Source organism: Homo sapiens, chromosome 6 (assembly GCF_000001405.40).
Source record: "Homo sapiens chromosome 6, GRCh38.p14 Primary Assembly".
NCBI classification, from domain to species: Eukaryota; Metazoa; Chordata; class Mammalia; order Primates; family Hominidae; genus Homo; species Homo sapiens.
In genome coordinates this window covers 16,747,529-16,775,363 of record NC_000006.12, presented here as the reverse complement: position 1 = coordinate 16,775,363, position 27,835 = coordinate 16,747,529, and the positions used below count along the sequence as shown (strand labels likewise).

The window sequence follows — 27,835 nt, the reverse complement described above, 5'->3', positions numbered from 1 at the left end:
CCTACCTGGGCAACAATAGTGAGACCCCCATCTCTGCAAAAAAGAAAAAAAATTAGCGGGGTGTGATGGTGCACGCCTGTAGTCCCAGCTACTTGAGAGGCTGAGGCAGGAAGTTTGCTTGAGTCCAGGAGGTTGAGGCTGTAGTGAGCCATGCTCATGCCCCTGCACTCCAGCCTGGGGGACAGAGTGAGACACTGTCTCAAAAAGAACAACAACAAAAAAAATAGCATAAAATGTTGCTGAAATTATGTGCAAAACAACAAAGCAAAATGCTGACTAAAATTGCAAAATTTAAGACCTTACTGCCAAACCAGCTATTGAGGAGCTTACCGATTAACTTTCTAGAAAACAGGAAAGAACACTTTTTAAAATAGCTGATTGAGAAGAGTTTTTATTAATGAACTACATATGTATCCACTGGAAAAGTTATCTATGAATATATATGTTATTTTGAACAAGAATATATTTAGTCTGGTAGAAACTTAAACTATGTGAAATCAAGATTTCATCAAATTGAGCAGTGCTAAAGTGTTTTTGTTATCCTTTCTTTTACTAAAAAGATAAAAATCCCCTTTCCTCCCACTTACCTCTCTCTCCAAAAGAGGCTGGAAGAAGTTCCTAGACCAGGAAGGCACTGGGTAGGAAGTAATTGTGTAAGTCTCCCTGTCTCCTCTGCCAGTGCTTTTTAATCCTTATCTACCAATCTTCCCTGCTATTTCATGAAAAGAGGATCCCAGCTGTGCCAAATAGTGTGGTAGCTATATAATCTAGAAACAATCCACAGGGGGTTAGGACAGAAATTAACAAATCTATTTTAGCTTGAAATCTTACTTGTAAAGAATATCAACCAGTTTCCCAAACATCTACAGACCAGACAGAAATGCCATCATCTCACTTTATAAGAACCCAAGTGTGCGGGCTGCCATGATCAAAATCTTCTAGAATTGGATTTTGCTCATCACAGCAGTGTCCACCTTCTATGAGGACTAGAGGAGAACAAACACAGGACTGGGAGGGAGATGTCTTAGGTTCCAGTACTGAATTTGCCACAGACTAGTTGTATGATCTTTGCCAATTTCCTGCAACTCTTTGGCCCAGATTCCTGTCTATAAAATGAAAAAAAAATAATTGAACTAGATTCTGTAAGGATCTTTCCAGTTCTAATAAAATGGCATTATATAGCTATATTTTCACACTATAATTAATAGGCCACCCTCTCCTCATTATCCTGCATCCAGTTAGATTAATTGACACTTGTGGTTTTTTTTTGCAGATGCACTGAGAGATGGTGTTGGGGTTGGGAACCTAACTCATTCCTGGTACCAATCACTGGTCACTTCTCAGATGTGGAGTCAACTGAATGTGCTTTTGTGTCCTACCTCTTTAGGTTCTTGTAGAGCAACCTCATACCAAAAGTATGAGGAAGACTAGGTGAAGAGATCTGGGCTGCCATGTGTGTTTGTGATGTTCCCTGGAGGACTCAGGATTCATAAATCAATGGACCTCACTCTCTTTAATCTTTGGGAGTTATATGCATAGTGTCAACATTTAATAATTATAACTAGGGCTCGGGGGGCAATTTGAGATAGTATGTTGCAAAACATCACCAATGAGACCTGACATGTGAGAGAATTTTCCTGCACTAAGAATGACAGCAGATGCCACATTGAGGAGCTGCAAACTGGGAGCAAATCCACTCCATCCTACTATGAGCCCTTCCTGTTTTGTCAGCTAGCATGGTTTCCTAAATCTCAAATTGCAGCAGAACTGTTCTGCAATTCCATGGCTAGCTATTTCGGGAGCCTAACACAGCAGGACAAATGTGCACAAGTCCACACAGTATGACAGAAGAATTAAAAATGTATTTACCATCTGTTGGTAGTTTCCTTGCGGGTCTCTTTTCTTTTCCTCTCCTGCAGCCACAAATAGGGTCTTCTCACTTCCTTCCAACTTCAGAGAGCTGGGTTCTCTTCACATCTCTGCAAATGCAGGGCTTGGTTTTTTTTTTTTTTTTTTTTCTCTTCCTTTTTTCTTCTTCAAATTTCCCAGACTGTTGAACTCTGGTCTATTTCAGCTTCTAGAATCATTTCCCTCAAATACAAAGTGGAGTGAGGCTGTGAAGAGGTTACAGTGTTTTGCACATCTTGTGTGGCCAGGCTACTTTCAGACACTATGCTTCGATTCTGGTCACAGAGGACTCTGGGAAGCTTGCGGGTAGAACAGGAGAAGTTCAGCCCAGAGTAACTGAAGGAAATTAAGTCATTAAATTAGCCTTGAGAATTCATGTTGGCCCTTTACGATCTCCTTCGTCCTTACTGTAATGGGATACTTTAGACAGGACTTTAATAGGAAAGGGTTCTAGGGATTCAAGCATGAACCTCAAGTGAGAATCATTTCCAGCCCATGTAGCAGCATGAGTAAAAATTATAAGCTGGAATAGAGTTCTGTTAGTTGGGAAACCACTTAGGTTGATCTGAAGCCAATTCGCTTATGGAGAAATACTCAGTTCTCAATGAGCATCACTAGCTTTAATTTCTGGGATACAGGTGTTATTCACAATTCATGTATAATCCAAAAACTAGAGATTGGATTAAAAATGGTCCCTTAGCCAAAACATTGCAATGCAGTGTTATGACTGTAACTGTCCTATTTCATTCAGGTAATGACTTGTTAACAATTCTCAAGCTGCATAGGTGGATAACTTCACTTTGAAACCAGTGCTGGGTGACCCTGAACTTTGGGCAGGTCCTTTAAACTCCAAGCCTCAGTTTAATCACCTAATAAGTGAGAATCATGATCTCTATCTCACAGTATCATCATGGGGATGAAATGAAATGACATCTGCAAAGCCTGAGTGTGAGACTCAGTTCATTCCAACTCAGCTTTAATAGTCATGTCAGACACTAAGGCAAAGGTCAAGTAAAGAGAACATATATTATACCATAGTGTGGACCAGATGGATTAGTTTTGGATTAGCTCCTAATGAGATAATCATTGTGTTGGGGGCTGACAGAACTTTGCACATAGTAGGTTCTGGAAAACATTACTGATTAATTCATTTAATAGTCAATGCCTATTTAGTGGGTGTCTATCATGTGCCAAGAACTATTCTAGATGAATGAGCCAGACAAAAAAAAAAAAAAATCTCTGCCCTCCTGACAATAAACAAACAAACAAAGTAGATGACATAGAATGTTATAAAGCAACACATTTATGGGATAAATGAGCAGGGCAAGGTGGATCGGGAAAGTGAGGGAGTAGAATTTTTAGTAGGGTGTTCACAGCAGGCCTCACTAGGAGGTTGATTCTTAGAAAAAATAACCTGAAGAAGATGAAGGAGTGGGCCATGCGAACACAAGAGGGAAAAGCATTCCAAGCCGAGGGAACAGCTAATACAAAGGCCCTGAGGCAAGAGAGCAGCTGGCTTATTTGAGGACCAGCAAAGAGGACAGTGAGGCTGGCAGTGTGGGAGCAAGGACAGGGATAGATGAGATCAGAAAAGTTGAGGACCTGATCGAGGCCAGCCTTGTAGGCCATGAAGGGCTTTTACTTGACCTTGGGGGAGCCCTTGGTCTCTGAGCAGAGCTGTGGCATCAACCTAATGCAGGCAGTAGACTGGTGTGGGCCGGTAACTGGAGAAGTAAGGGCCAATTTAGGAGGCTGTCGCAGTAACCCTGACGAAGGACGGTGGTGGTTTAACTCCAGTGGTAGCAGTCCCAGGGCTGAAAAATGGTCAGATTCTGGATATGTTTTGAAGGTAGATTTAACTGGATTTTTGGCAAATTGGATGTGGGGTCTGACGAGAGAGTCAAGACACTGCCAGCGGTTCTGGGCTTGAACAGGTGGAAAGATGGAGTTGCCATTTTCTGAGATTTGCATGTAAGAACTGCTTTATCCATCTCAAGAGGACTTCCTTTGTATTCTGGCTTCAGTGTGAGGCCTCCCCTTCCACTCGCTCAGGGAAACTTCCTGAAACAAATGAGCTTCTCGGTTTTTTTTGGTTTTTTGAAAAAGGAGAATCAGAAAGACCAAGGTCTTCATAAGCACTTTGATAACACTCAAATAGACAGTAAAAGAAAGCCAAACAATTAGCATTGTATTTCCTCAATATCAAATTAATTTAGTTTTTGCGGTCTCTTCTTCACCCCAACCCCACCCACATGCTGGAAGACTACTTCTGAAGAGGGAAGCTGCTGGTGCATCGGGCGCCCAGCAGAGGGAGCTGAGGAGGGCCGAGGAGGACGCCGACACCAGCTGACGCCCCGTGCAGGAGTGTAATGTACTTGTGCTCTCTGAGGCCTGGAGCCAGAAGCCAGATGTTTTTCTGGGATGACGAGGAGGCGGTTCTAGAACTCTGTAAGTTTTCTATTCCATTAGACCTTTTCTTTGTTTATTGGTATTGTCATAGGTGCAAGACCAAAAGTACATCCAGAACAGATTACCTAGGAGTATCTGCAGCAGGAAGAGGTAGGGCCATATACGTAAATAAAGAGAAGAAAGGAGAATCCAACAGACCTGGAATCATGGATCTCATAAGGAGGGTGCATTCGTCTCCTAGGATGGCTATAACAAAGTACCACAAACTGGGTGGCTTAAAACAACAGGTATCTATTCCCTCCCAGTTCTGGAAGTTAGAAGTCTGAAATCAAGGTGTCAACAGGGCCATCCTTTCTCTAAATGCTCTAGGAGAGGAGGCTTCCTTGCCTCTTCTAGCTTCTGGTGGTTGCTAGCAATCCCTGGCATTCCCTGGCTTGTGGCAGCATATCTCCAGTCTCTGCCTTGTCTTCACATGGTCATCTACCCTGTGTCTCCTCTGTTTCTGTGTCTTCTCTTCTTATGAGGACAACAGTTGCATTGGATTTAGGGTCCACCCTAAAACAGTAAAACCTCATCCTAACTAATTACATCTGCAAAAATGCTACTCCCAAATAAGGCTACACTCATAGTTACTGGGGTTAGGACTTCGATGTATCTTTTGGGGTCACAATTCAACTCATAACAGAGGGCAGTGGAAAGTTACATGAAAAACTGATCAGTGGAGGGGAGTCACATAATTGGAGCATAAACAAAGGAAGCGCAGTTGCACGCTGAAACTGTAAGGGAGGTCAAATGGGTTTGGGAGTAGCAGGAAGTATTCAAGTAAGAGAGCTCCCACTTAGGATACTCTCTCCATCTGTGCTTATGGCCCTGTTTTTTTCGGTTAGAGGTTTAAAAAAATATTGTATAAATAAAAAGAATAAGAAAATAGCACTTCTCTGACTCACACATTGGGCAGAGCCGCAGACTCCTGTGATAATCAAGAAAGACTTCACAGAAGTGTTGATGCTTGAGCCGGATCTCAAAAGCATGAGGATAAAATCTCCATGCAAAAAAAAAAAAAAAAAAAGGAGGGAGGAGAAGAAAGGGCTTTCCATATAGAAGGTATATGCACACGCATAATGTTATTTAAATGATATCTCCTTCACCTCTTTAGGTGGGGAGTAAAGTCTTTAAAAGGCAAGGCTCTTGTTGTCTATTTAACCTGTATTACTCAGACACAGTATTTAAACAATGAAGGGGCAAAAATGTTTCTGGTTTTAATAAATGCACAAATAAGCACATGATAACCTGGAAGAACACTAGGGGCATATATCAGGAGGAGTTAATTATTGGACACATTTGCCAAAGCACAAATATGGAAACCCCACCCTCAGCCAGATCTGGAGAAATCAAAGAGTTGAATGTGGTATAAATTCCTTTGCCCTGATTGCATAAGGAGATCTGCCAACATTTTTCCCTTTGATATATTCCTTTCTGTACAAAGGGTCGAACTGGGTTCTTAAAAACCCAATCATGAACTAAGATATGCAATTCTGAATCACCATTGCGATCTAGGAAAATTAACTCCTCGCTGATCTTCCCAGATAAGCACCCAAGCTTGTTGCCTCCAAGATCTGCATCAGGGTCTGGCTAGTTTCTGTCTTAGAGCAACTCCCCTTTTTTGGCATAAGAATGTACAGGATGCCAGCGAAGTTCACACTGGGTCGTCTAAGTCTCTTTAAAGGCCTGATGATTCATTGCTGGGGGTTGGGGTGAGAAGGTAGTGAGGGGAAAGGAAGTGCTAAGCCAAGGGGCGGAGCAATATAATTATGAAATTGACAGCAGGAAAAGCTAGCCCTGGGAGTGAAGGGTTCACGTGTTCTTACTCCTGGTACTCAAGCTACAACTTTTAAACTGGAATAGGTGTGGGGAGTTAGGAAACATATCCTGTAATTTGATTGGCTCTCAGAGGAAATGCATCCAGTGCCTCATATATTTGTAATAACTATGATGTATCGATTTTCTTAACCCATTTATGGTTGCAATTTTTTGAATTTTTGCAATCAGACCTTGGCGATGACCTCGAGCAGTAGGATATAAATAACTCCCACATGCTTAGCGTTCCGATAATGGAACACTAGGCATAAATATTAACATCTGACAAAGAAGAAAAGCTCTCTCATGACAGTGCAGTTAGCAGAATAAAAATTTGGCTGTAGTGGTATGAGTGAATAATTTGTCTTCTTCTACTTGATTTACTTGTATTCTAGCTGACAGGGTCTTCCATTCTGTGCATTCATTTTGTACTTAAAAAGGGATTGTTTGTAATGTACAGTTTAAGTCTGAGTGCTATTATTCTGCTCTGTCAGAAAGCATCTGTGGCAGTAGCCATCGTTTTATGCCTGTGTCTCAGACACAAAGCAAATCAGTATCTTCAGTCGCCAGTCTTGAGAGCTTCCCAGATCTCCTAGCAGTTAAACTTTGGAGAGGCCTGACAGAGAGGGGTTCTGCAAATATCAAACTGCCTGACAACCCTCACTGAAACCCTGACACAGGCCGTTCCCTTGGTGAATTCTAGTTATTTATGTCAAAAAGCAAAGTTTGCCAATGCATTTTTCTCTAACTCTCCCTCTTCGGGGGTAAACTTGGTAAATTCCTCATAAAATAATTTTCTTAACCTCTGACCCTCATTCAGATCAGCTTCTCCTGGCCAATATTGACTCAAGAAAAATAAAGTAACTAAGAGAGCTTATAGCCACATATTTTAATGTCATCAAGTTAGAACAACAAAGAACACTGCTTCACTCCTTCCATAAAAATTTGATGTTTATTTTTGCAGCCTGTTGTTGCCCATGATCTTATTCCGAAGGCACCCTCAGCTTAACAGGCACAAACCATCAGCTGCCACTACCTTCAGTTCAAAAAATGGTGGTTCTGGCTTTGATTTAAATTTGGAAAATGTATTTCTTTTGAGGAAACAAAATGCCAAGTTGTTAATGAAATGCTTTTAATAAATTTCCAAATGCTCCTGGCCAATACCAAACAAAGTTCAACTCATTCATTCTAAGCCTCAAAATGTTGTCTGTTTTCTTTCCATGTAAGAAGAGCTATGTTCTTTAGATGACTAAGACCATAAATTATGATACTTGCCTTATATTCAATCTTGGTCAGAGCTGCATTGATGAAAATTTATCTAGGTCTTGCTTGCAAAATAAACAATGATGGTTAAAAATAATCATTTCTTTTCAGAGTATCCTATGGTACTAAATATATTAGAAAGTTTTTTTTTAAACAGATTTCCTTTTGATGGCCTTGATGTTTTTTAGTTAAGCAACAAATTATATAATTTTCATTATCAATGTCCAAAGCCATCTGTCACTAGAAAGTATCGGCCCCAAACCATTTAGCCACAAGCAGCAAAACCAGCTGTAACTCTAGGATGCTTGTGCTTGTGCTTTCGAAAACAGAGCATAGGTTTTCCATCAGCCTCCCAGGGTGACAAGGTACCAGAGCTTGAGAAGACTGAGTCACAGATAAGCCTAACAAATTTTTGTTTTGCAGGCCTGTAACAGATCTACCAGTGAGATCACGCATTCACCGACAGTCTACTCTCAGTGATCATTATAACAGAGTAGGATAAGTTCTGTGTTACACAGTGTAAGGGGGGAACATGGGGAAGGCAGAAAAATAAGTTATTTACCACACCACTGCAGGGAGCCATGCTGGGAGTCTAAGATCTTAAACTGGGTTCTTAGAACCAATTCCTGTGCCTCCTCAGCCCCAATATCTGTATCAGTGTTGTTCATTAGAAATGAAATATATAACCCTTCCACACATGTGATATGAAACTTTATAGTAGCCACATTAAGAAAAGTAAAAAGAGGCTGGGCGTGGTGGTTCACATCTATAATCCCAGCACTTAGGGAGGCCAAGGCCCAGGAGTTCAATAGCAGCCTGGGTAACATGGTGAAACTCCGTCTCTGCAAAAGACACAAAAATTAGCTGGGTGTAGTGGCGCATGCCTGTGGTCCCAGCTACTCAGGGGCTGAGGTAGGAGGATCACTTGAGCCCAGGAGGTGGAGGTTGCAGTGAGCAGAGACTGCACTACTGCACTGCACTGCAGCCTGGGTGACAGACCTAGACCCTGTCTCAAAAAAAAAAGTAAAAAGAAACAGGTAAAATGAAGTTTAATAATATATTTTATTTAACCCAATGTACACTATTAAAAAATAACCCAATATTTTCAACATTTAATCAATGTAAAAATGGAGATATTACATGTGTGTATATATAATACATAAAATTAATAATATAGGAATAATGAATAATATATATTATATGTAAAATATGTATTTTTTATACCAAGTTTTTAAAATCTGAGGAATATTTCACACTTACAGCACATGTTAATTTGGACTAATCACACATTTCAAGTGCTCAGTAGACATAGTGGATAGTGAAGACCTAAAGTACCTTTTTTTCTTTGTTTTTAATTGTAGACAGAGTCTTATTTCAGAGGTGGGTACTATGAAATCACAGACTGTTGGCAGATGTTTGAGTACAATGACTTTAATTTCACTCTTGACTAATGCTAATGTCATTTTCATTCCCAGGAAGCCTGTCTTGCTACAGTTTGGTGGAGGGTCAAGAAAGATGATTCAGAAGTATGTCTTTTAAGAGTCTTGGTGACACGCACAGAGCCCAGTGACTTTAGTCTGGGTGTGGTGAGCTGACCTCAGAGTCTATTGTGTGAGTGTTTTTCACTTTTGAGTTTGTTTTACTTTTGTGGTCTCCCCAGCCTTATTTGTGAGTGCAATCTAAGGAAAGTATATTTGTTTTGCAAGCACACTATGGTTTGCTCAGATTTTTAAATGACATATGTAGGATTACACCCTCTTTATTCTGTCAGTGTTTCCATTAAAAATTCAAACTTTCTGGGATTTATTACACAGCCATAACAAATTGCTCCAGGCAGAAACTTGGCAAACCCTCTTTAGTGTGGGAGAAAAATTCTTTTCAGCATTTTAGAAAAGATAAAAATAAATAAATGTTTACCAACTCAACTTACTCATGTGATTTTGTGATAGGGAAGACATTCAAATAAAATACACATTATATCTTCACATTTGTTTGTCGTACAAATTTGAAATATTAATATTAGCTTATAAGTCAACTTTTGCTCAAGAGTTGTACAACTGTCCCCCCCGCCTCTCAAATTTTTAATGATTCTAATGTTTGATTCTCATATTTGGAAGTCTGATTGCTATGATTCTGGCAGGTGCTGGATCGCATCAACTATGAATCTTTGTGTTTCAACGTGGTAAAAATTAACAGTTTTCCAAAGGTAAGATCTGTTCTGCTCTGATCTCCTTGCACACTAAGATGTCTTACTCAATTTTATATTCTCAAGTCTTAGTTATTGTAGATGCAGAGTAAGTGACTGCTTGTAAATAAATAATAAATATATAAACATATTATCTAAGAATAACTTTGAAAAACCTTTAAAACTGTAAAAAATGCTCTGGATCTTTAGTCTGTATAATTTCCCTCATTTATGAATACCTCAAAGCACTACTGAAACAATTAAATGACTCAATGTTATGAAAGCACGATGTGGTTCCATAACTTTTTGGATACTTGGCTTTTACCAAGTATGTTATCTGCTTCAAGGGAGTTTTTGAGGATGCAATATGGAAGAGTAGTGAAAAGTATGAAATACTACGTAGGTATAACTGAAACCTAAATCCTCACCACTGCAAGCATTAAGGAGAAACCCCTAAAATTATTCTGAGTGTAAACACAGCAAAAGGCGCATGGACCTTAACCAACATGTATGACACCAAATGAAATTAAGTTACCTGATGTAGGGTCCAGTGAACTGACTCTGTTTTTAGATAAACAGGAGCTACTATTAGGGTTGCCTGATTCTGTGTTATCTTTGTTTTTGAGTAAAGCTAAGGCATCTTAGGGTTGCCTGATTCTGTGTTGTGTTATCTTTGTTTTTGAGCAAAGCTAAGGCATCTTTTTCACTTTTGAGGTCCACTTTCTTTTAAGAATTCAAGCCTAAAACTCTAAAGAAGTTTATCTTTATTTTATTCAACTTTCAATCTGTTCAGTTACATAGTTGTTATGACCTGGTAAGCCTATCTGTGTTTGCTCAGTTGATTTGCTTCATTTTGAACTACATAACAGGCTACTTCCAATGAAAACATATACTACAATGTAAAATCTGTCATGATTTGGAGAGACCTGTGCACTGGTTTTATTAAGCACTCTTGTGCTCCCTCTGCTGCCATGAAGAAAATGTTCATGTTCAAGACCCCAGTACATTCCTCAGCAGAGCATTCTTTTTTGGCAATAATGATGCAGATGTGTGCACTTACAGTGCAGTAGTATTTATCCAAAGCATATAACATAATAATTTTTCATTGAAAAGCACAAATTAATAAGGGCTGTACTTACTAAAAAGGAGCAAAAAAGAAATAAATAGAGGAATTAACTTCTGCACTTGTGCCCAAATTTATTTAGGTTGATCCCTGTGGTATAGACCAGTGTTCTTCACATGATAATGTGTTTAGAAATCACCCAGGGGCCTGGTTCAAAGGCAGATTCTGATTTGGTATGTCTGGGGTAGAACCCTTGACTCTGAATGTCTAAAAAGCTCCCAAGTGCTGCTGTGGCGACTTTGAAAACTACACTTTAAGTAAGGGTGTAATATGTAATTATATAATATATACTTGCTGGCCCATTTAACACCTTCAAGAGTAGATACCACCAAAACAGTAAAATAGATATGTGATTACAATTATTTTTCATGGTATTTAAGCAATCTATGACACAGGATACGAGTCAAGCTCATCAGGCCTTATTTATCGATTTCCTGTAATTTCAAAGGTTGACTTATGCTTTTACAAACATAACACCAGCCTTATGAGTAGGACTATAGTACTATATATTTGTCTACTAGCTTCTTGGAAGCTCTGCCCTTTTTCATTGAGTTTTTATTTGCACGAGAAAGTCTTGTTTCTAAAGAATCAGTGCCTGTTATTTGTGATTGTACACTTAATATTTTGCCATCTGAAAACAAAATATTTCAGTACTAAAGGTAATGAGACAGTTTCATGAGTATGGTGTTTATGTTGGATCTTGCAGGAAGAAATAGTTACAGATTTTGGTGGCAGTTTATGGCTTTAAACTTAATGGCTAAGAAAGTAAATGACACATTTCTTATTAATTGTTTTTACCATTTGGGTAATATACATATTTAGCTTCCTTGAGAGAACATTTAAATTAATTGACTAACTGTAATCTGAATTATGTGTTTTAATTTAAGGTTGTTAAAATCACGTAAATTAACTGCTTGTGCCAACGTAAAATTACAATATTAGCTTTTTTTTAACTGAAAATTATCTAAATGTAAGATGTCTAAAAATAGAGTGGAGGTGGATTGGACAGTTTGCAGATTATGAGTTGGAATAAAAACATCGCAGTTAAGCCAAAAACATGGCAACCAATATTTTCTGTTATAAAAATATTTGAGATGAATTTAGTTTTTATGAAAGCTGTCTGAAACTGAAATGAATAGCAGAAGCTTTCTGTTTATTCACAGTCCAGTAATAATAATACCTGCAGCACAAAGCATACGTCTTTTCTATATAAAGCCAACAAGCTTCTGCTCCTTTCTGAAGTCGTCTTTGCCAAGCAGGGTGTTGGGGGCGGGGGTGAGGATAGGGGTGAGGGGACATTTTACCCGGTTATGCTCTTACGTACTAACCTTCACCTTGACAAAGCTTGTCAACGAAAACAAAACCAGTCAGAGCCTTTTCAGGAAACTGATGTTAACTGTCCACTAGAGGCTGTAATGAGACCAACAATGTCACTTTAGACCAACCCGAGGTTTAAACCGTAACAATAATCGATTTTTAAATGGAAAAAAAAAAGTTGTAGAAATGAGTAAGAGTGAACACTAGTAGTTATACTTAAATAGCCACATATATGTGCATGGTATTTCAAAAATGTGAGAAAAAAATATTTCCGGGGCTCTGCACCTTCCTCGCTCGTATGTTTATTTTTATTTATGAAGCACGTAGGCTCTTGCAGGCCAGAGTTGTGTAAAAACTGACACTTTTTTTTTGGTCATCCTGTGCCCTGCCTCAGTTGGTGACTAACCGTTAGGTCATAAGTAAACTCAGCCAAAAGATCTCTCAAATACAGCTTACAGTCAAGATTGGTGGCTTTCAGAAAGAAACTTACGCGAAAGGATCATGTTTCCAGACACTTAGTTCTAAGCACCTGAAGAAGGTCAAATGTCGCCCGACACCTACCGGCCTTCCAGAATCATCTGCAACAAGAACGCCGCACTGAGCGCCCTTAGTCTGGAGGCGCCTCCTAGTCCTCCAGGTGCCACACCTGTTGGCAAGGTGCACCCATCCGAAGAAGATTCCTTCGCGTGGAGGTCACACCTGGCGGCGAGACAGGCGGAGGGGCGGGGTGGTGGGAGTCGGAGACCGCACTGAAACCCTGAGTCCAGATTTAAGTTCCTCGTCGATTCTCGAGAACTGCCATTTGATGCTCCGGTTGCTTTCTCTGTCTCCTACACTGGTTACCTCATTTCCGATTAAATTAATGATCCGAAATTAGCTGCGAGAGGAGTGCGCGGGTCTCCTTTCCAGGCTAGAGCGGAGTAGTTCCATATCAAAGCCGATTTCCGGACCTGCGTGCGAAGAGAGAAAGAGGGCAGGGTCGGGCGGTCGCCAGCGTTCGCCGGCAGGAAAGGTGAGGGTACCTGTGCAGTCGGGGGACCCCTTGAAACTTTCCGGAGTTGCACGCAGAGGCAATCCCCGCGGCCCCCAGGCCTGGGTTCCGGAACGCCGAAGCGACGCCGGTTTGTGGCTTAACGTGCAGCTGATGATCAGAGTGAGCCCTCTCAGATGCTGCTCCGAGCGCCTGGGACCAAGGACACGTCGGGATTAGAATGGGCCGACCTCCCCTCCCCGCTGGGGTGTTGCATCGGCTCCCAGCTGAAGCCTGACAGCCCTTGGGGGAGTCCCCCAGGTTGCCTGAGTAGCGCCCCGTTGTCGTTCAGTCCCCTCCAACTAGGTGCAGGGACCCAGGGAGGCGCGCGAGGACCGACCCGTCACCGCTCAAATTACCTCATCGCCCAGCTCCCCGCCCCCTTCCCAAACCTGGAAGGAACCTTGCCCTCCGGTCCGCGTCTCCCCTCCCCCGCACCCCATCCCGAGCCACTCTTTGGGAAAGGTGCCCGCCTCCCCGGGCGGCGCGCAGCGAAGGGTTAAGGGCGCGGGCCGGCCGCCGCGCGGTGCGCTCGCCGTGCTCTGTGCGGCTCGCCGGGCCGCCCGCCAGAGGGTGCCCCCCACCCCCATGAAGTCGGATCCTTGAGCTGCGGCGGCGGCAGCCAACTGCTCCATATTTGGCTTCTATTACACATTTACATACTGGAGCGAGCGAGCGAGCGAGCGCGAGAGAGCGCGAGGGAGGGAGGGAGGGCGGGCGGGCGGAGGGAGGAGGGAGGGGAGGGGAGCGGGAGGAGGGGGAGGAGGAGGAGGAGGAGGAGGAGGAGAGAGCAGAGTATACCGCAGACATCATTTCTACTACAGTGGCGGAGCCGTACAGGACCTGTTTCACTGCAGGGGGATCCAAAACAAGCCCCGTGGAGCAGCAGCCAGAGCAACAGCAGCCGCAAGACATTGTTTCTCTCCCTCTGCCCCCCCTTCCCCACGCAACCCCAGATCCATTTACACTTTACAGTAAGTGACTATTTTTTTTTCCTCCTCCGATTCTTTCCCCCCTCCCCCATTCCCTTCTCCCCTTATTTAGATTAAAATCCCTCCTCCCCCGATCTCCCGAGAGGGGCAAAAGCAACAACCAGCAAACAAACCCAAAACCCCAATCGGCTGCACGGAAAACAGCTGGAAGAGGAGCGAAGGAAATCGACGCGTCGTGTTCTGTGTGTGTGCGTGTGTGTGTGTGTGTGTGTGTATGTGTGTACATACAACCGTCCCCGGCTCCAGGCTCCCGGGCCGACACCCCCACTCTGGGCGCAGGGGCGGCCGGCGGGGGGGCTGTCAGGGGCTGGGTGGGCGCCCGCCGGGCTAGGGGGCGCGCCCGGGCGGGGGGCGCGGGCGGGGAGAGCGGCGGCGGCGCCCCGCTCCCCCGGCTGCTGGTCCGGTCGCAAGTGCGGAGAGCCATGTCCTCCTCCCTCCGGGTGGCGCAGGGGGGAGGCGGCGGCTGGGGTTGGGGGGTGGTCCCTTTCCCGGCCGCCCTCTTCCCATTCCTCCTCCCCGGAGAGGGCGGTGAGAGAGAGGGGGTCTCACGGAGGGCTGGACTTCTCCGCGGGTGGTCGCCCGGCCTCGGCGCCCTGGGGCGGGGGTCTCCCCTCGGAGGGCCGGCCTCGCCGGGTGTGCGGCTGCGGGCGGGGAAGGGACTGCTCCTGCAGCCGGGACGGGACTTTGCGCGCGGCCGGGTGCCGGGCGGGGGGCGCAGAGGGGTGGCCTCGGGGACCGCGCGGGGGTAGCGGGTGTGCGGGTGCCTGGAGCGCGGCTGGAGTGGCGGTGACGGCCCTGGCCGCCGCCGCCACCGCCGCCCTGTTGGTGCGGCCGCTTCCTGATCATGTGCAGCGGCAGCCGCCGCCCGGAGCCGGGAGCCCGCGAGCGCCCCAGTCCGGGCCGGCGCCCCCGCCAGCACCCGCGGCAGGAGACGAGGAGCCGCGGCAGGCGCTGCCCTGAGCCGGGAGTGAACGGCTGCGCGGCTGCTGGGAGGGTGAATGAAGCCAGGAGGAGGGGAAGGAGGAGGAGGCGGCGGCCGCCGCGGAGGAGGCGCTGCGGGGATTGGGATGCGCCCTGGAGCCCCACTGCTCGTTCACTCTGGGCCGGGCCGGAGACTCTGCCACTCCCGGGGGCGCCGCCGCCTCCTCCTACGTGGTTCCAGTGCTGCGCGCAGGCCGGTCCCGCAGGGGGCAGGGAAGGGGGCCGGACGGGCGGAGCGAGAGGTGAGGCGGTGTCGGAGCGCGGCGTGAGTGTGAGTGAGTGTGTGAGTGACTGTGTGTGTGTATTTGTGCGCGCGCGCGCCGGGCGGGGGGCGAGGGCCGTCGCGACGCGGAGGGGGCCCTTCCTTGGCTACTTGGCTGACTCTGCAGCGCCCCGACCCCTCTTCAGCCCCCCGCCTTCAGGCTGCCTTCTTAAACTCCGTGGCTTGTGCTTTCATTTTGTTTCAGACCACGTAGGGGGCTGACTGAAAGGGATGAAACAATTCAGGTTTTCTAGGGAGATTGAGCAAGAACCTTAGTGGGGGTGGAAGTAGGGTGGTGATCGAGACTCTGCCAGAAAACAAAACAAAACAAAAAAAAATCCGTTTCTAAGGACGGCGGGGATTCGGTTCGAGCCCGTGGCTGCTCTGTTTTGTTTTGCTTTCTTGGTATATAATCCTACAGATAAAAGGGTAATATAAATATTTGAGAAGAGGGAAATTGCTGAAGAGTAGTAAGGGCAAAAAAAAAAAAAAAAAAAAAAAAAAAACAGTCGGAAGAAGCTGGTTATATAATGCGCGATGTGGCTAACAAGAAAGGCAAGCTATTTTTATTTTGTTTACCGTATGCTGTGCAGTAGGGACTCCTCCAAACTGGTTCTGTCCCCGAAGAGATTCTTAGCTTCCCTGCGAGATCCACAGGATACAATTAGCAAAATTAGAAGACCCTATTACACCCACAGAATAAAAACTAATGCCTTACAGTGGCTTTCTCCCTGCACATCCTGTCGTGCATGCACGGGAATGTGTGTATGCAAATAAGTTCTCCTTTGGCAATCTAGTAGTCACATCTCAATGACATTTGTGTTTTATAATGCAGGCTGTTTTTAATATTTAAACATCATTGTTATATATTGCACACAGCAGTGGGTAGTTACTTGGTTATTTTTAGGCACAGCTAGTTACTTTTTCAACAGTGTTAGCTGAGACATTTCTGTTTGGGTTTTTTAGGAGGCTGCAGTTCCTAGAAGCCCCCCTTAAGCCCACCCTTCGGTTTATTTGATGGGTAAAGGTAGTTTGATACTTGAGCTTTTTTTGGAGTGAAGCTTATGTCTGAGGAAACCACCAGAGAGAAGAGAAAATCCTGCACAGGAACTCTTGGAAAGGGATTGCACCATAACGGCTAGCGCTGTGGCATTTAATCTCCTCTGATTGCCCTCTCACTGTGCATGCATCAGTCAATATTTTAGCAGCTCCGCAAATAAATGGACTTGAATGCCATCTTCTACATAAAGCAGAGGTTGAAGGGCTCCCCTGAACCTCCTGGCTGCCTGTCAGTGGTGTAGGTTTTCGGTGCACTTACTCCAGTCCTGATCACTCATGTAATTAGATCAGGCTGCCATGGCAACAGACAGTGTTCCTCGTCCATTCAGGTGGGTTTGTCTTGTGCCTGAACTACTCCAAGTGTTTTATGCACAGCATTTATGCTGCCCAAGCCAGACGAGAGACTCCACTATTTCAATTGCATCTTCTTTCAGTCATTTGGATGGGAGACACTGAATGAGGCTTCTAGCTACTCAACTTTTATAAAGGAGACCAACAAGCTGTTCTTCCTAGGTGCAGTATGTAAATGCATCTCCCCAGACAGTGAAAGGAGCCTGACAATCCTGCTGGTGTTTATTGTGAACAGATCAACAAGTATTTGGTACTTGTTAGAAACCTTTCAGAGCTCACTAAAGCAACATTTCTTTTGCAGTCTGGTGCCTTTGGCCTTGCAGTCAGTCACTTAACCCTTTCAAGTGTGAAGAGCGTTCATCATTTGGAACCTCCATTGCCCATAGCGATGGCTGGATTTCTAAAGGGTTTACTCAGGGGAATAACTTATTCGGAAAATATATTCCCATTGTCACATTTTAAAACTTGACAGCCATCATAACAAAAACTGGTACTGACAGTAGGCAGACATTCTGAATGTATTCATTCTTAATTTGGATCTATTGGCTGTGATTTGAATGATCTTTGGTAGTAAGTTAAAAGGATTTTTTTTTCCTTAGCTAAGCGAGAAACGATAGAGGCCTATAGCTAGAGGACTGATAGTGCATGGTGCTTTTGGACAATAAACATGTACTTTATTTTAGGATGTAATTTAGTGAGCAGTTAGAAAGCAGTATTCTAGTCTTTGCATTAGGGCACCACTGATAAAGCTGGCTAAGCAAAGAGAAATAATATTATGGCAAAAAGGAAAAAAGGAAAAGTTGCTTTAGTTGCTGAAGCTCTGTGCTGCTCAGGCAATCCAACTAAGTGGGGCAGGGGGCGGGCGGGGGGGAGTATTTTCATAACCCTGGTATTTGAAAGAAAAGATAATTGAGAATTATGTCTTGATTTAGTTGTGACTGCCAGTCAGTTTACAATTTTATGGCCAACAAAGCTAAACTGGTAAATTTTTTCCCCCAGGGCTAGGATTGAGAGAGCTACTCAACTCTATTCCCAGGGGGTTTATGAGTTTTTACCGTTTTGTGAGTTTATGTGGTTGGTAAATTCATTGTGGCCTGGTCAGATGAAGCACTGCTGTAGTTAAAATGAGCTATTATTTCTTCTAGCTACTCAACTTTTATAAGGTGGTAAATAGATGGGAAGCAAGGATGTCAATATTACACAATGCCTTGGAGGTCCTGGATTCTATTTTGCAACATATAGAAAAATGCTTTACTTGCAGTAAAATGTGAACATATATTTTTCAGTGCACAAATAAATTCATGTGAAAATAAGTATAAAAAAATGTACCTGGTGGGAACCGCCAAAGGCAATATTTTTCCTTGCGGATTTCGTTTTAAGAGGGTTTGGTAAACAGAAGTGACACTTTGTCAAAAATGTTACGACTAGACTTCAGGACTTCTGAATTGTCTTTTACACTTAGAGGAAGATTAAACAGAAACTCTTTAGCCACAAGATTACATGTCAAATGCCTGTAAGTTTCAACATACCTAAGTCAGTTGCCTAGGAGTCCTGGGAAAGGCCAGTGCTGAGATTATTGAAATATTAGTAAACATTACTATGACTCCTGTTTTTGTTGTCATTATGGAGTCCAAGGACGCACATTTCTTTGAATAATGTTGTGCCTTTATTGTTTTTCATTCTGAAATGTCAAGTGGATTTTACTTTTTTGCACATACCTTGAGTGACAGTTTCTGATGACTAACACTAACACTCATTTTGTTTCCTATTAAAAGTTAAGCAATAAACATATTTTACTAAAATTCTGAAACTCACGTAAGTAGGTAAATGTGGGAGTGAATGTTAATTCTTTAAACTGTAGTTATCTGAAAATAACACATAGATTAGGATCTGAACAGCTTAAATACTTGCATCGGTAAAGTGACAATAGTGAAGTAAGACAGGCTATTATTTTTAGGGGAGAGATAGATTATTTGACTTTCCTTGCTCTGTATTTTCAGAGTAATTCAATAGTTCGAATGATTAGTTTCTGTGAGAGATTTAGATCTGTGCAGCTTAATTGCTTCAAATAACAGATTTAGTTCTGGTCATACTTCCAAGGTTATCAGAAGCAGGCCCTCCTTATTTTGATAAAAGCATTGAAAGCAATACATTGTAGAAATGGTAATAGAAATAATAATTTCTGTTTTAGGACCTTACATATAGAACTTCCTTTTCTAAGATAAGAATTTTAAGTCATCAATTATGTTCACATTTTATTTTCATGTAATTTAGTTTAATAAAATAAATGTACTCATTCAAAATTTTTTTAAGAAGTGATATACAGTGTCAGTTTTACAGAATTTTTTAAATGTTGGCTGAAAGAACGGTAATTACATTGAGATTTTTAAAAATATATAAATGCTTAAAATTACAGAAGTAATAAAAAGAATGGTTTTAGACAAATCTTATGGAAAGTTTTTTATTTTATTCTTTTATAATTATATTTATGGATATTTGTCTTTATTAGTGTAGTAATATATTTTATAACGCTCATAATTTGAACTTTCAGGCTAATGTACTATAAATATTTGTATTACGCATTACTACCATCCCAAATGTACCAAAACACGTTTAGAGAGAACAATTATGGACAAAAAAGCAACAAGCATTATATTTTGTTTGACATATTTCATGTTAGCAGAAATGTTTCATTGATTTTTCTGTAACTTTTAATGCATCCCATTTGTGGAGTAATGAAAATGTAATGATAATTGCCACAATGTAAGCAAAAATTGTATCCTACCTGAAAATTACTTTCCAGAAAATTCATGGTAGTGTACTCAGAATTTGAGACTCAAGAGGGCAGAGGTTTCCCCGATTGTGATGTTTTGATTTGGGCTAAGAGGAACTCTTTTTTTTTTTTTTTACACTTAGGTGCCCTTTAACATGACAAGTTTTGAATGAGTTAGGTAGCAGAAGTTTTTCGTGACAGTTATTGTAGCTACTAACCTATAGCATCTATCCTTCTAACGTTCAAAGAAAATATATTTTTCTGTCACTGTGTATGGCAAACTTTATTTTCTTGTGCCCTTAATTTTGTTCCCCTTTCTCACATTATCTCCTGGTACTTACTGACCATTACCTCAGTTTTGTTTAGGCCGTCTTTCTTGTTAATCTTCCAATATTAATAGTATTGTATTATGTTGCTCTGCTGGGTTTTAAAAATATTGAGTATTCCATTTTTGGTGTATATTATTGTATAAAATGTCCTATAAATTATTTTCTGGTATATTATTTTGTAAGTTTTTGCAGTGAATACGTGCTGCCTTGCTTGTATTCTTGCCTTCTTCCCTCTGATGGAATACAAGTTATGTAAACTCTCTGTATTATCCTAACTAGTGCAGCAACACAAATACTTTTGAAATAAGAAAGCATACTCATGCAAGAGTAAAGTAATCTTCTATGGCATTTACATCATGTTTGACCCTCCTCTGCACTTCAGCAAACTAGGAGGAGGTTGTAACTTGGACTCTATAAAACCTTATCTGCCAGGTGATATGTAAACAGGATTGTGTGCACACACATTGTCATATAGGCAAACACTCTCCCAACTGGTGAGCTCATAAAAAGCACTGTCTGTAAATTTATGGTACCTGCACCTCATTTGAGAATCAAGTATTTTGATGCTTAATTTGAGATGACATCATGATCCTCCCTCCCTGCTTCCTCATCCTTAAAGAAGTACTAAGATTAAATAGAATTTTGTCAACTTCTACTTAACTTGGCCATTATTTATATTTGTAACTCAACAGGCTTCTTGGTGGAGGGACTGTGCCTTCTAAAGATCTGAAAGACCTTATAGTGTATAACAGCTTACCTTCCTTCTCTGTACGCACAGATCACATGTGGGGAAACCAAGGACTACAAGAATTCCTTCTTTTGCATATCAGTCCTCGGCAGGCAATCAATGCTTAAATAAATGCTTGGTGAATGGATTAGTTAGAAGTAAGAACATTTTGGCTACTGTTCATTACTTTGAAAAGTGCTGGAAAGAAGTGGAAGTTATTTTCCTTTCCAGCTGGGCTGTGCTCTTAAAAATAGTGAGTGTGTATGGATGAAAATAATCATGAGTACCGAGATGTGTTGCCATGTACCCAAGGATAATTGGCTCACTTACCTGTTTACGGATTATTCACATTGGAGATCATATTCATAGCTCCAGAATAGTTTCTTTCTGACATCCAATATAAACCTGGGCCTCCTTCTTCCTACTGTTACCTGGCGTGAGCTTAGGAAACCCAAACTAAGTTTAAAATCAGCCTAAGCAAATGTGCAGATCAGCTCCAGTAATCAAAGACTGAAAATCAGTCCAGCATTCACTAGTTTGGGGATGATTTTATAGTAACCCTGCTACTGATTTTAAAAAAATTTTTTTTTCTGTTTAATGTGGATAATTGGTAATTACCGGTATTTAAGAATATAATTTTAATGGATAGGGCTAAAAAAATACGTTAGCAGATCGAGTCCTCAACTTCTTCCGTTTCTATGCATAGGTTTTACCTCACAAAAACTACTACAAGCACCAAGCTCCCTGATGGAAAGGTATATGGAAGATTCATTCATTCTTTCTTTCATTCATCCATTCACACATTCACTCATTCATCATACAATGGAAAATTTTTACTTAACCATGTGCAAGGAATTGTGGCAAAATGAAAATGAGATGTACATTCAGTATTTAAATAAAGTTTAGTGGAAAGTTTAGTGAATATAAATGCACACTTTACACTTTTTTTCTGCATTTTTTCCTTTCTTCTATTCCATTGGACTGGTATGCTAATAGCTGTGCACTTTCATCATTGTGTTTCAAGTTGCATGTTGATAGATAATATATGCCACATTAAAATTAGGCTTTGGCTCAATTACTATTCAATCCATGCCCATTTTCACCTGATACTCCTTGTAGTTACCAGCATGTGTTTATCAGATGATTGGCTAGAATCATTGGAGAAAAGAATGACAGCGGCTGGCTCAAATGGGGAGACCATCCTCTTAATTTGATGGAAGGGATGACCTTTTTGTATGTTGGCCTCCCTCTGAGCCTTGTTGAGTAAAACCAGACCTGCCTTTTGAGCTGGCTGGGATCTGTGTAATTCTCATACAACAGAATGCCGAATGTGATGTTCTTAAAATTTGTATTTCGGTGCATAGACACTTAAGGTGGACTTATTTTTTAAAGCAGTCTATTCTGTTTTTCATTTTGGATTTCCTCTCCTGCACTCCCTCGACCATTGCAGGAGCATCGTGCATCAAGTCACCAGGGTGGTCCATTCAAGCTGCAGATTTGTTTGTCATCCTTGTACAGCAATCTCCTCCTCCACTGCCACTACAGGGAAGTGCATCACATGTCAGGTGAGAGTTTTGCGATGCTCTCTGTTTTCCATCTGAGGATAAAGTCCTGACCTGGAAAATTGCCTCCTAGCCATGCTCCCTTACTTTGTTGGCTGTTGAATATCATTTTCTTTGCAAACTCTGTTTGGGCATAGTGTGGGAAGTTGAGAAATTGCCAAGATTGTTTTTTAAAACTTCGATTAAAGTATCTATCTATTTGGTTTAATCTATATGTTCATGAAGACTTTCATTTGACTTTGCGATGATTGATAATTGCCAATTGGGGCTTGAACCTCATCATTTTAATTGTCAGTTTTCCTTAATACAATTAAGAATGCTATGCTACCAGATATCTTAAGTCACAGTTTTTGCATTTTAGATTACTGTTGTAGTATAATATGTGCGTAGCAAAACAGAGACCTATTTGTTTAGGGGAACCAGTATTTGTTGAATCTTGAATTTCTTTGTGTCTGTTTGGATTTTACAACTTCCTGATTTTCCCACGTACAGTAAGTTTTTCTGGCCTGGAGAGTCATGCAGACATAGGGTGTATGCAATGGTGATGACTCATGGTTCTCTATTGAAGAAAGGGCCAGAGGATATTGCCTCAAATTAAATCAGGAAGGAAAAAGAGGTTTGCTAGAACTTGGGGCAGTAAGGGCTTGGGAACACAAGGGTTTGAGTGTATGTAACCAAGGGAGATTGTGAAATAGAAAATAGGGGATCAATTTCTATTTGCCTTGGAAATGGACCTGCTTGAAACTGTGAAGACAGACTAGATTAGAGGTTCCCAAGCCTGGCTAGGCAACAGAATCACCTGGAGAGCTTAAAAAAATAGAATTTGGAGCTCCACCCTAGACTTGATGAATCAGAATGTTTCCTGCTGGAATCATTGATCTGTCTAGGCACTGATGCTCCACAGGTTTGGGAACCCCTGGGTCGGCCGGTCTTCCAGCAACTCTTCCTAAGTTATGTTCTGTAGACTTAGTTGGTGAGAAGCTCATTCTACTTTTAGCAAATCTCCCATTTGAAAATTTGAATTTTCAAAACTCATTTTTCAAGAGGTAGATGGATATTTGCTTTATAACAGGTTCATTTAAACAATAATTGACCAGATTTCTTTGAAGAAAGAGCTGCCTCTTTACCGTAAGAGCCAATTTTTAAGTTACATATAAATTCTCTGGCATCTTAGATAAGAGCATGGAGCTCCGTAATCAACCCATCTGGACTTAAGATCTGGAGCTGCCACTATGACCTTGAGTAGTCCTATGTCCTTTCAATGCCTCAGTTTATTCATGTATAAGATGGAGGTAATATTAGAACTTTCTTATAGGGCTGCTGTGAGGATGGACTGGAGTAAAATAGTAGATATACTGTGGGTAGAATAGTACCTGGTGTATGGTTTGTATCTTTTAACAGATGCTATCAAGTAACTTATCCCTCAACAGGTTGATTGTTATGGTCATGTTTTATGATGGTTGCTCCTGAACCATACATGACTAGAAATATGTAAATATACCTGGACCTTGGTCTTTGGACCCACCCTGTAGACATCTACGGCTCTGCAAAGCCAAGGAGCCTTTTATTTGTTTTTGCTGAATTTTAAATTCTGAATTTATCACAACTCTCTGACTGATGGGATGCATGTGTGGTTTTTTTTTTTTTAGATTGTTGTAAAATGAACTGATGAATTGCATGCATAAATGTGGTTATTTGTGGTCTGAGTAAAAATAAACAAAAACCTGAGTGACTGAAGTATTATGCCTCAGGAAAAACAGCCAAAAAAGTCCCAGTGGGGGACAAGGTGGAGGAGGGAAGAGTCATCACAGACACGATACTCTTGTAAAATATGGAACTGGATTCCTTACATTTTATTGGCTGTGGATTAGAGAGGTGTTCTTTAAGTGGAAATGTAACCTAAAGTTACATGCAAAGGTAAGCCTCTTAAGATCTACAAGTGTCAGCTGAATGAAAAAGGTAGGGTGGGCCAGGCACAGTGGCTCATGCCTTTAATCCCAGCACTTTGGGAGGCTGAGGTGGGTGAATCACTTGAGGTCAGGAGTTTGAGACCAGCCTGGCCAACATGATGAAATCCTGTCTCTACTAAAAATATAAAAATTAGCCAGGCATTGTGGCAGGTTCCTGTAATCCCAGCTACTTGGGACACTGAGGCAGGAGAATCGCTTGAATCCTGGAGGCAGAGGTTGCAGTGAGCCCAGGTCTCGCCACTGCACTCCAGCCTGGGCGACAGAGTGAGACTCCATCTCAAAAAAAAAAAAAAAAAAGAGAGGAAAGAAAAGAAAAAGGTAGAGTGTCTTACTGCTACTTTATCTCTTAGGGATGATACTCATTTTAACGGTTATGTGCTAGGCTGAAAATCCTCACATTTAGATCTTTGGGGAAATAGTTTAATTGCAAATGGGTTGAGTACACGTGCATTTTTTTTAACCTGTGGTGTTGAAAGGGAGTCATTTGTGATAACAGAAATATCTCAAGAATTTTATTGTGAAAAAACAGGCAGCAAAAAGTCATATCTCTTGGTCAATATGGGCAGCTTATTGAGAAGAGACCTAGGTTTTTATAATATGTTAGGCAAGTTTAAGTGTCTTATGAATACTAAAATACTGACGAAGTAGCGCAAAGTCACCTTGAATTTTAAGCGCTGACATTTTCTATGATTGCATTTAAAGAAAGCTTATAAGCATTATCTAAACATTTTGCATCAATAATGGCCTCATTACAGTCCTCACGATTGACGGCTCAACGTAGGCAGAAAAATAGTATCATTCATGTTGTACTCTTTTATATTCATTCAGTTTTTTTCTTAAACCTACATTATAGTTCTTTCTGGTTCTAGTTATTTTATAAATATGATACAGCTATAGCAAGTTATGACCTAACTTGTTCACAGTCACTATTTATGTAAAGAAATGATTCATTCATTTATTCATTGTGAATTTTTTTAAAACTACTGCATGGTGCTGTGGGAATGGAAGTGAATAAGAGCTACCGGAAGGCAGTTATTTTCTTCCTGGTCAGGCAGGGGAAAGAAGAAACTCTCTGAAATAATGAATACGAATAGAATGGGGTTCTAACAGTGTTCTAACAGTGAAGGAATTCAGAAGAGTGACGCTGAGTAGGAGTGATCAGGAAAGACTTTGAGGAGGAGGGATCACTTGAGTTGAGCTCTGCTGACTAGATTGCATTTCTGTGGGAAGAGATGGATGGAGCATGAGGAAGGCCATGTGTGTGTCTGGGACATAACAAGCCAATGCACGGTATGTAACTGACCAGGACATTTTGACTGAAGCCTAGGTGCTGGTGGACATCTGAATTTCTGGATTCGAGCAGACAGTAGAGAGTATGGGAATAAAACTGCCGAGAGGTCAAGTCTGAAGATAAATTTGGAGGAGTCCTTGGCATAAAAGTGATCTTTGAAATTGGGTTCTTGGGCCTGGCAAAAAGTTTGACACCCAGGAGGGGGATGACTGAATTCAGGGATGACGTCAGCTGGTGTAGAATGTGTAGAGAGAAGGTAAGAGGCAGCGGAGAGTAGCTTCAACATTGATGTGGCATGGCCTTCGTCTGCCTTCTTTTCATGATCTGGGGTGAAGGAGGCTGGGTGGCTGGAGGAGTTGGGTGATGTATGCGTGGGCCATAAGGACTCTTCTGCAGCTCAGGCACCTTGGAAACTCAGTGCTGAACTACAGTTCAATGAAATCTTGTCAAAACCTCTCTTCCTTTAAGACCTTTAAAAAAATAGGAACTTGAGCTAATTTTAGCTAAATCTAATGTGTGTGTGTATAAAAATGAATGCTGCGTTTGAAATTCAGCGTATGCGGTATCTCGTTAAACAAATGATCCTTCTATTTTCCTCTAAACAGTTTTATTAAGATTTTCAGTGAAGCCCTGTACGTTTTAACAACAATTCCAGCATTTCTTTGATCTTTTCTACCGTTGATTTATTCATCTCACATGATATGCGTAAATCACAATGTGCCATCTACTTGACTCTGTAGCAATTGTTCATTTGTGGCAATTCATTTACTGTACTTTGATAAACCACATTAATTTGGGTGTGTTTTGTAACTTTAGAGGATTCCCTGGAGGCTTTCTGCAGACTCTTTAAAATGTGAGATGTGTGTGTTTTTGTGCGTGCGTGTATACTGTATATACCTAGCTACTAGACACAGCTCTTTGAACAATTTGGCTTCCCATTTATACTTTATAGAAAATAAAGAGATATAGAATTGGTGAATCTTGGGTCTGGGGAGAAAGTTAGTCTAAGACTTCCTGATGTAAAGTGAAAGAGAAGGCTGGAGATGATGTTACGATGATGTTAGTGAGCAGTCTGATTTAATGTAATGAGAGAAAATTTGAGGATTAAGTTGTGGTTTTTTTTTTTGGTGCTGAGTTAGTTAGGATGGGCTCTCTGTGTAGCCCAAAAGGGCTCAGAATAAAAGCAGTGACTTATTTAACTTTCATCAAAGACAAGAAGGTTAAGACAGGAACAAGAGGGATGGAGCAAACAACTCCAGGGGCAGATCGTTCTTGTCTGCAATTATTTAATGAGCATCTAATGTATGAGACGCATTATGCCAACAAGGCCCTCTAGGGAATATGGAGATGATCAATAGTTCACATTTACTATTCTGCATATTAACTTATTGAATCCTCATTACAGTCCTTTGAGGTAGGCATCATTATTTTCTCCATTGCACAGGCGAGGAAACTGTGGCACAGAGAGGGTGAATAATTTCCCCAAGGTTTCCCAGCTGTTAAGTGATAGAATCGTGCTTGGATCCCAGTCTACACTCTCAGCCCTGTTCCTTAAGCCCTGTCCTTAAGAAGCTTACAGTCGAGTGCATAAGGCAAGGCATGGCTTGGAGTAATATTTAAAGAGCCATGACACAGGTAACACAGTCTAGGAAGTCAGGATCAAGGAAGGGTCCTTCCTTGGAGCCTTCTCTTTTGATGCCTGCCTGTCTGTTCAGTCACATATGAGCTTTCTGACACAGGCTGTCCCATGCAGGCTTTGTGGTGTTTTCTCCCTTTCTTTCACTCTTACTCATATCTCCTTGAGATTCCTATGCACTTTCAATAATTATTAATTGAAGAAAATGATGACAGTGGCAATTTGCTTATCCGTTTCAGGGGATTGGCTTAAGTTGGATCCAAATGTTATTCAGCATCAAGAGTCTCAGCGAGATGATGAACTTTTGACTCTTAAAAGAACTTCACTGGGTCATTGCTCAGCTTGCAAGATTTGGCAGATATGAACTATTTGTCTCTCCAGTGTGATAGGTGGTGGTGTGGCGCTGAACGCAAGCTCTAAGAATAAAACGTGCAGCAAAAGGAGGTCACGCTTTAGTCAGGGTGGCCATAAGGAAGCTTAGAACTCACATCCCCTCTGCCCCTGCCTCGCCCAGTCTCATTTTCTCTCCTTCACTAGAACAGTGAATGAATCTGAGCTCATTCATGTCAAGATGATAGAGAAGAAAGATCACTTTCTCTTAGCTGGCTTAGGGAAGGCCAGATTGTCTTTCTTACACTGAGTGAAAAATTACTGAGGACTTTTGTTTTTTTTTTTTTTGGTCTTCAAGGCAACATCTCTTGCTTTTACAGACCCACGGAAATCGAGAAGAGGATGCAAGATTTACTATTCGTGCCCTAGCCTGGCAGCTTCAGCCTACATCACAGCTGTAATCATATGTGATGCATTTTT

At 41.8% G+C, this 27,835-nt stretch overlaps 1 protein-coding gene and 2 long non-coding RNA genes across 9 annotated transcripts in view, besides 9 other annotated features; 1 reads left to right on the top strand and 2 right to left on the bottom strand.

Moving 5' to 3' along the window:
* Positions 1-375: 375 nt before the first annotated feature.
* Positions 376-8,220, bottom strand: LOC124901268 (uncharacterized). The gene is made up of 2 exons (XR_007059480.1): positions 1,870-8,220; positions 376-767 (listed from the first exon to the last, which is right to left on the bottom strand). It is a non-coding gene; the product is annotated as an uncharacterized LOC124901268 (long non-coding RNA).
* Positions 5,952-6,246: an enhancer, noted in NCBI's record as "tiled region #6173; K562 Activating DNase unmatched - State 8:EnhW". NCBI's record gives its function as "activates a minimal TATA promoter and a strong SV40 promoter by Sharpr-MPRA in K562 cells {active_cell/tissue: K562}" and the evidence as "EXISTENCE:reporter gene assay evidence [ECO:0000049][PMID:27701403]".
* A 260-nt stretch (positions 8,221-8,480) lies between the features above and the next one.
* Positions 8,481-14,226, bottom strand: ATXN1-AS1 (ATXN1 antisense RNA 1). The gene is made up of 3 exons (NR_136240.1): positions 14,198-14,226; positions 13,085-13,245; positions 8,481-13,012 (listed from the first exon to the last, which is right to left on the bottom strand). It is a non-coding gene; the product is annotated as an ATXN1 antisense RNA 1 (long non-coding RNA).
* Positions 12,251-13,450: an enhancer, noted in NCBI's record as "BRD4-independent group 4 enhancer chr6:16762145-16763344 (GRCh37/hg19 assembly coordinates)". NCBI's record gives its function as "activates an origin of replication core promoter dependent on BRD2, P300/CBP, MED14 and CDK7 cofactors, and independent of BRD4, by STARR-seq in HCT116 cells {active_cell/tissue: HCT116}" and the evidence as "EXISTENCE:reporter gene assay evidence [ECO:0000049][PMID:35650434]".
* Positions 13,451-13,770: a silencer, noted in NCBI's record as "silent region_16963". NCBI's record gives its function as "represses an Ori minimal core promoter by ATAC-STARR-seq in GM12878 lymphoblastoid cells {active_cell/tissue: GM12878}" and the evidence as "EXISTENCE:reporter gene assay evidence [ECO:0000049][PMID:35858748]".
* Positions 13,451-13,803: a biological region, named in NCBI's record as "ReSE screen-validated silencer GRCh37_chr6:16761792-16762007".
* Positions 13,588-13,803: a silencer, noted in NCBI's record as "fragment chr6:16761792-16762007 (GRCh37/hg19 assembly coordinates)". NCBI's record gives its function as "represses an EF-1alpha promoter that drives an FKBP-Casp9 reporter gene in an ReSE screen in K562 erythroleukemia cells {active_cell/tissue: K562}" and the evidence as "EXISTENCE:reporter gene assay evidence [ECO:0000049][PMID:32094911]".
* Positions 13,811-13,970: a silencer, noted in NCBI's record as "silent region_16962". NCBI's record gives its function as "represses an Ori minimal core promoter by ATAC-STARR-seq in GM12878 lymphoblastoid cells {active_cell/tissue: GM12878}" and the evidence as "EXISTENCE:reporter gene assay evidence [ECO:0000049][PMID:35858748]".
* Positions 13,904-27,835, top strand: part of ATXN1 (ataxin 1) — a 462,349-nt gene continuing 448,417 nt past the window's right edge. For 2 of the 7 annotated variants that reach the window (NM_001357857.2, NM_000332.4), the window contains exons 1-3: positions 13,904-14,066; positions 21,273-21,321; positions 22,017-22,131. The gene's annotated coding sequence lies outside the window, so the exon portion shown is untranslated. Of the gene's footprint in view, positions 14,067-15,179; positions 15,308-21,272; positions 21,322-22,016; positions 22,132-27,835 lie in introns of those variants that run through there. The other 5 variants (NR_152111.3, NM_001128164.2, NR_152114.3 and 2 more) reach the window with 4 other exon arrangements.
* Positions 14,447-14,576: a silencer, noted in NCBI's record as "silent region_16961". NCBI's record gives its function as "represses an Ori minimal core promoter by ATAC-STARR-seq in GM12878 lymphoblastoid cells {active_cell/tissue: GM12878}" and the evidence as "EXISTENCE:reporter gene assay evidence [ECO:0000049][PMID:35858748]".
* Positions 14,647-15,126: a silencer, noted in NCBI's record as "silent region_16960". NCBI's record gives its function as "represses an Ori minimal core promoter by ATAC-STARR-seq in GM12878 lymphoblastoid cells {active_cell/tissue: GM12878}" and the evidence as "EXISTENCE:reporter gene assay evidence [ECO:0000049][PMID:35858748]".
* Positions 15,137-15,496: a silencer, noted in NCBI's record as "silent region_16959". NCBI's record gives its function as "represses an Ori minimal core promoter by ATAC-STARR-seq in GM12878 lymphoblastoid cells {active_cell/tissue: GM12878}" and the evidence as "EXISTENCE:reporter gene assay evidence [ECO:0000049][PMID:35858748]".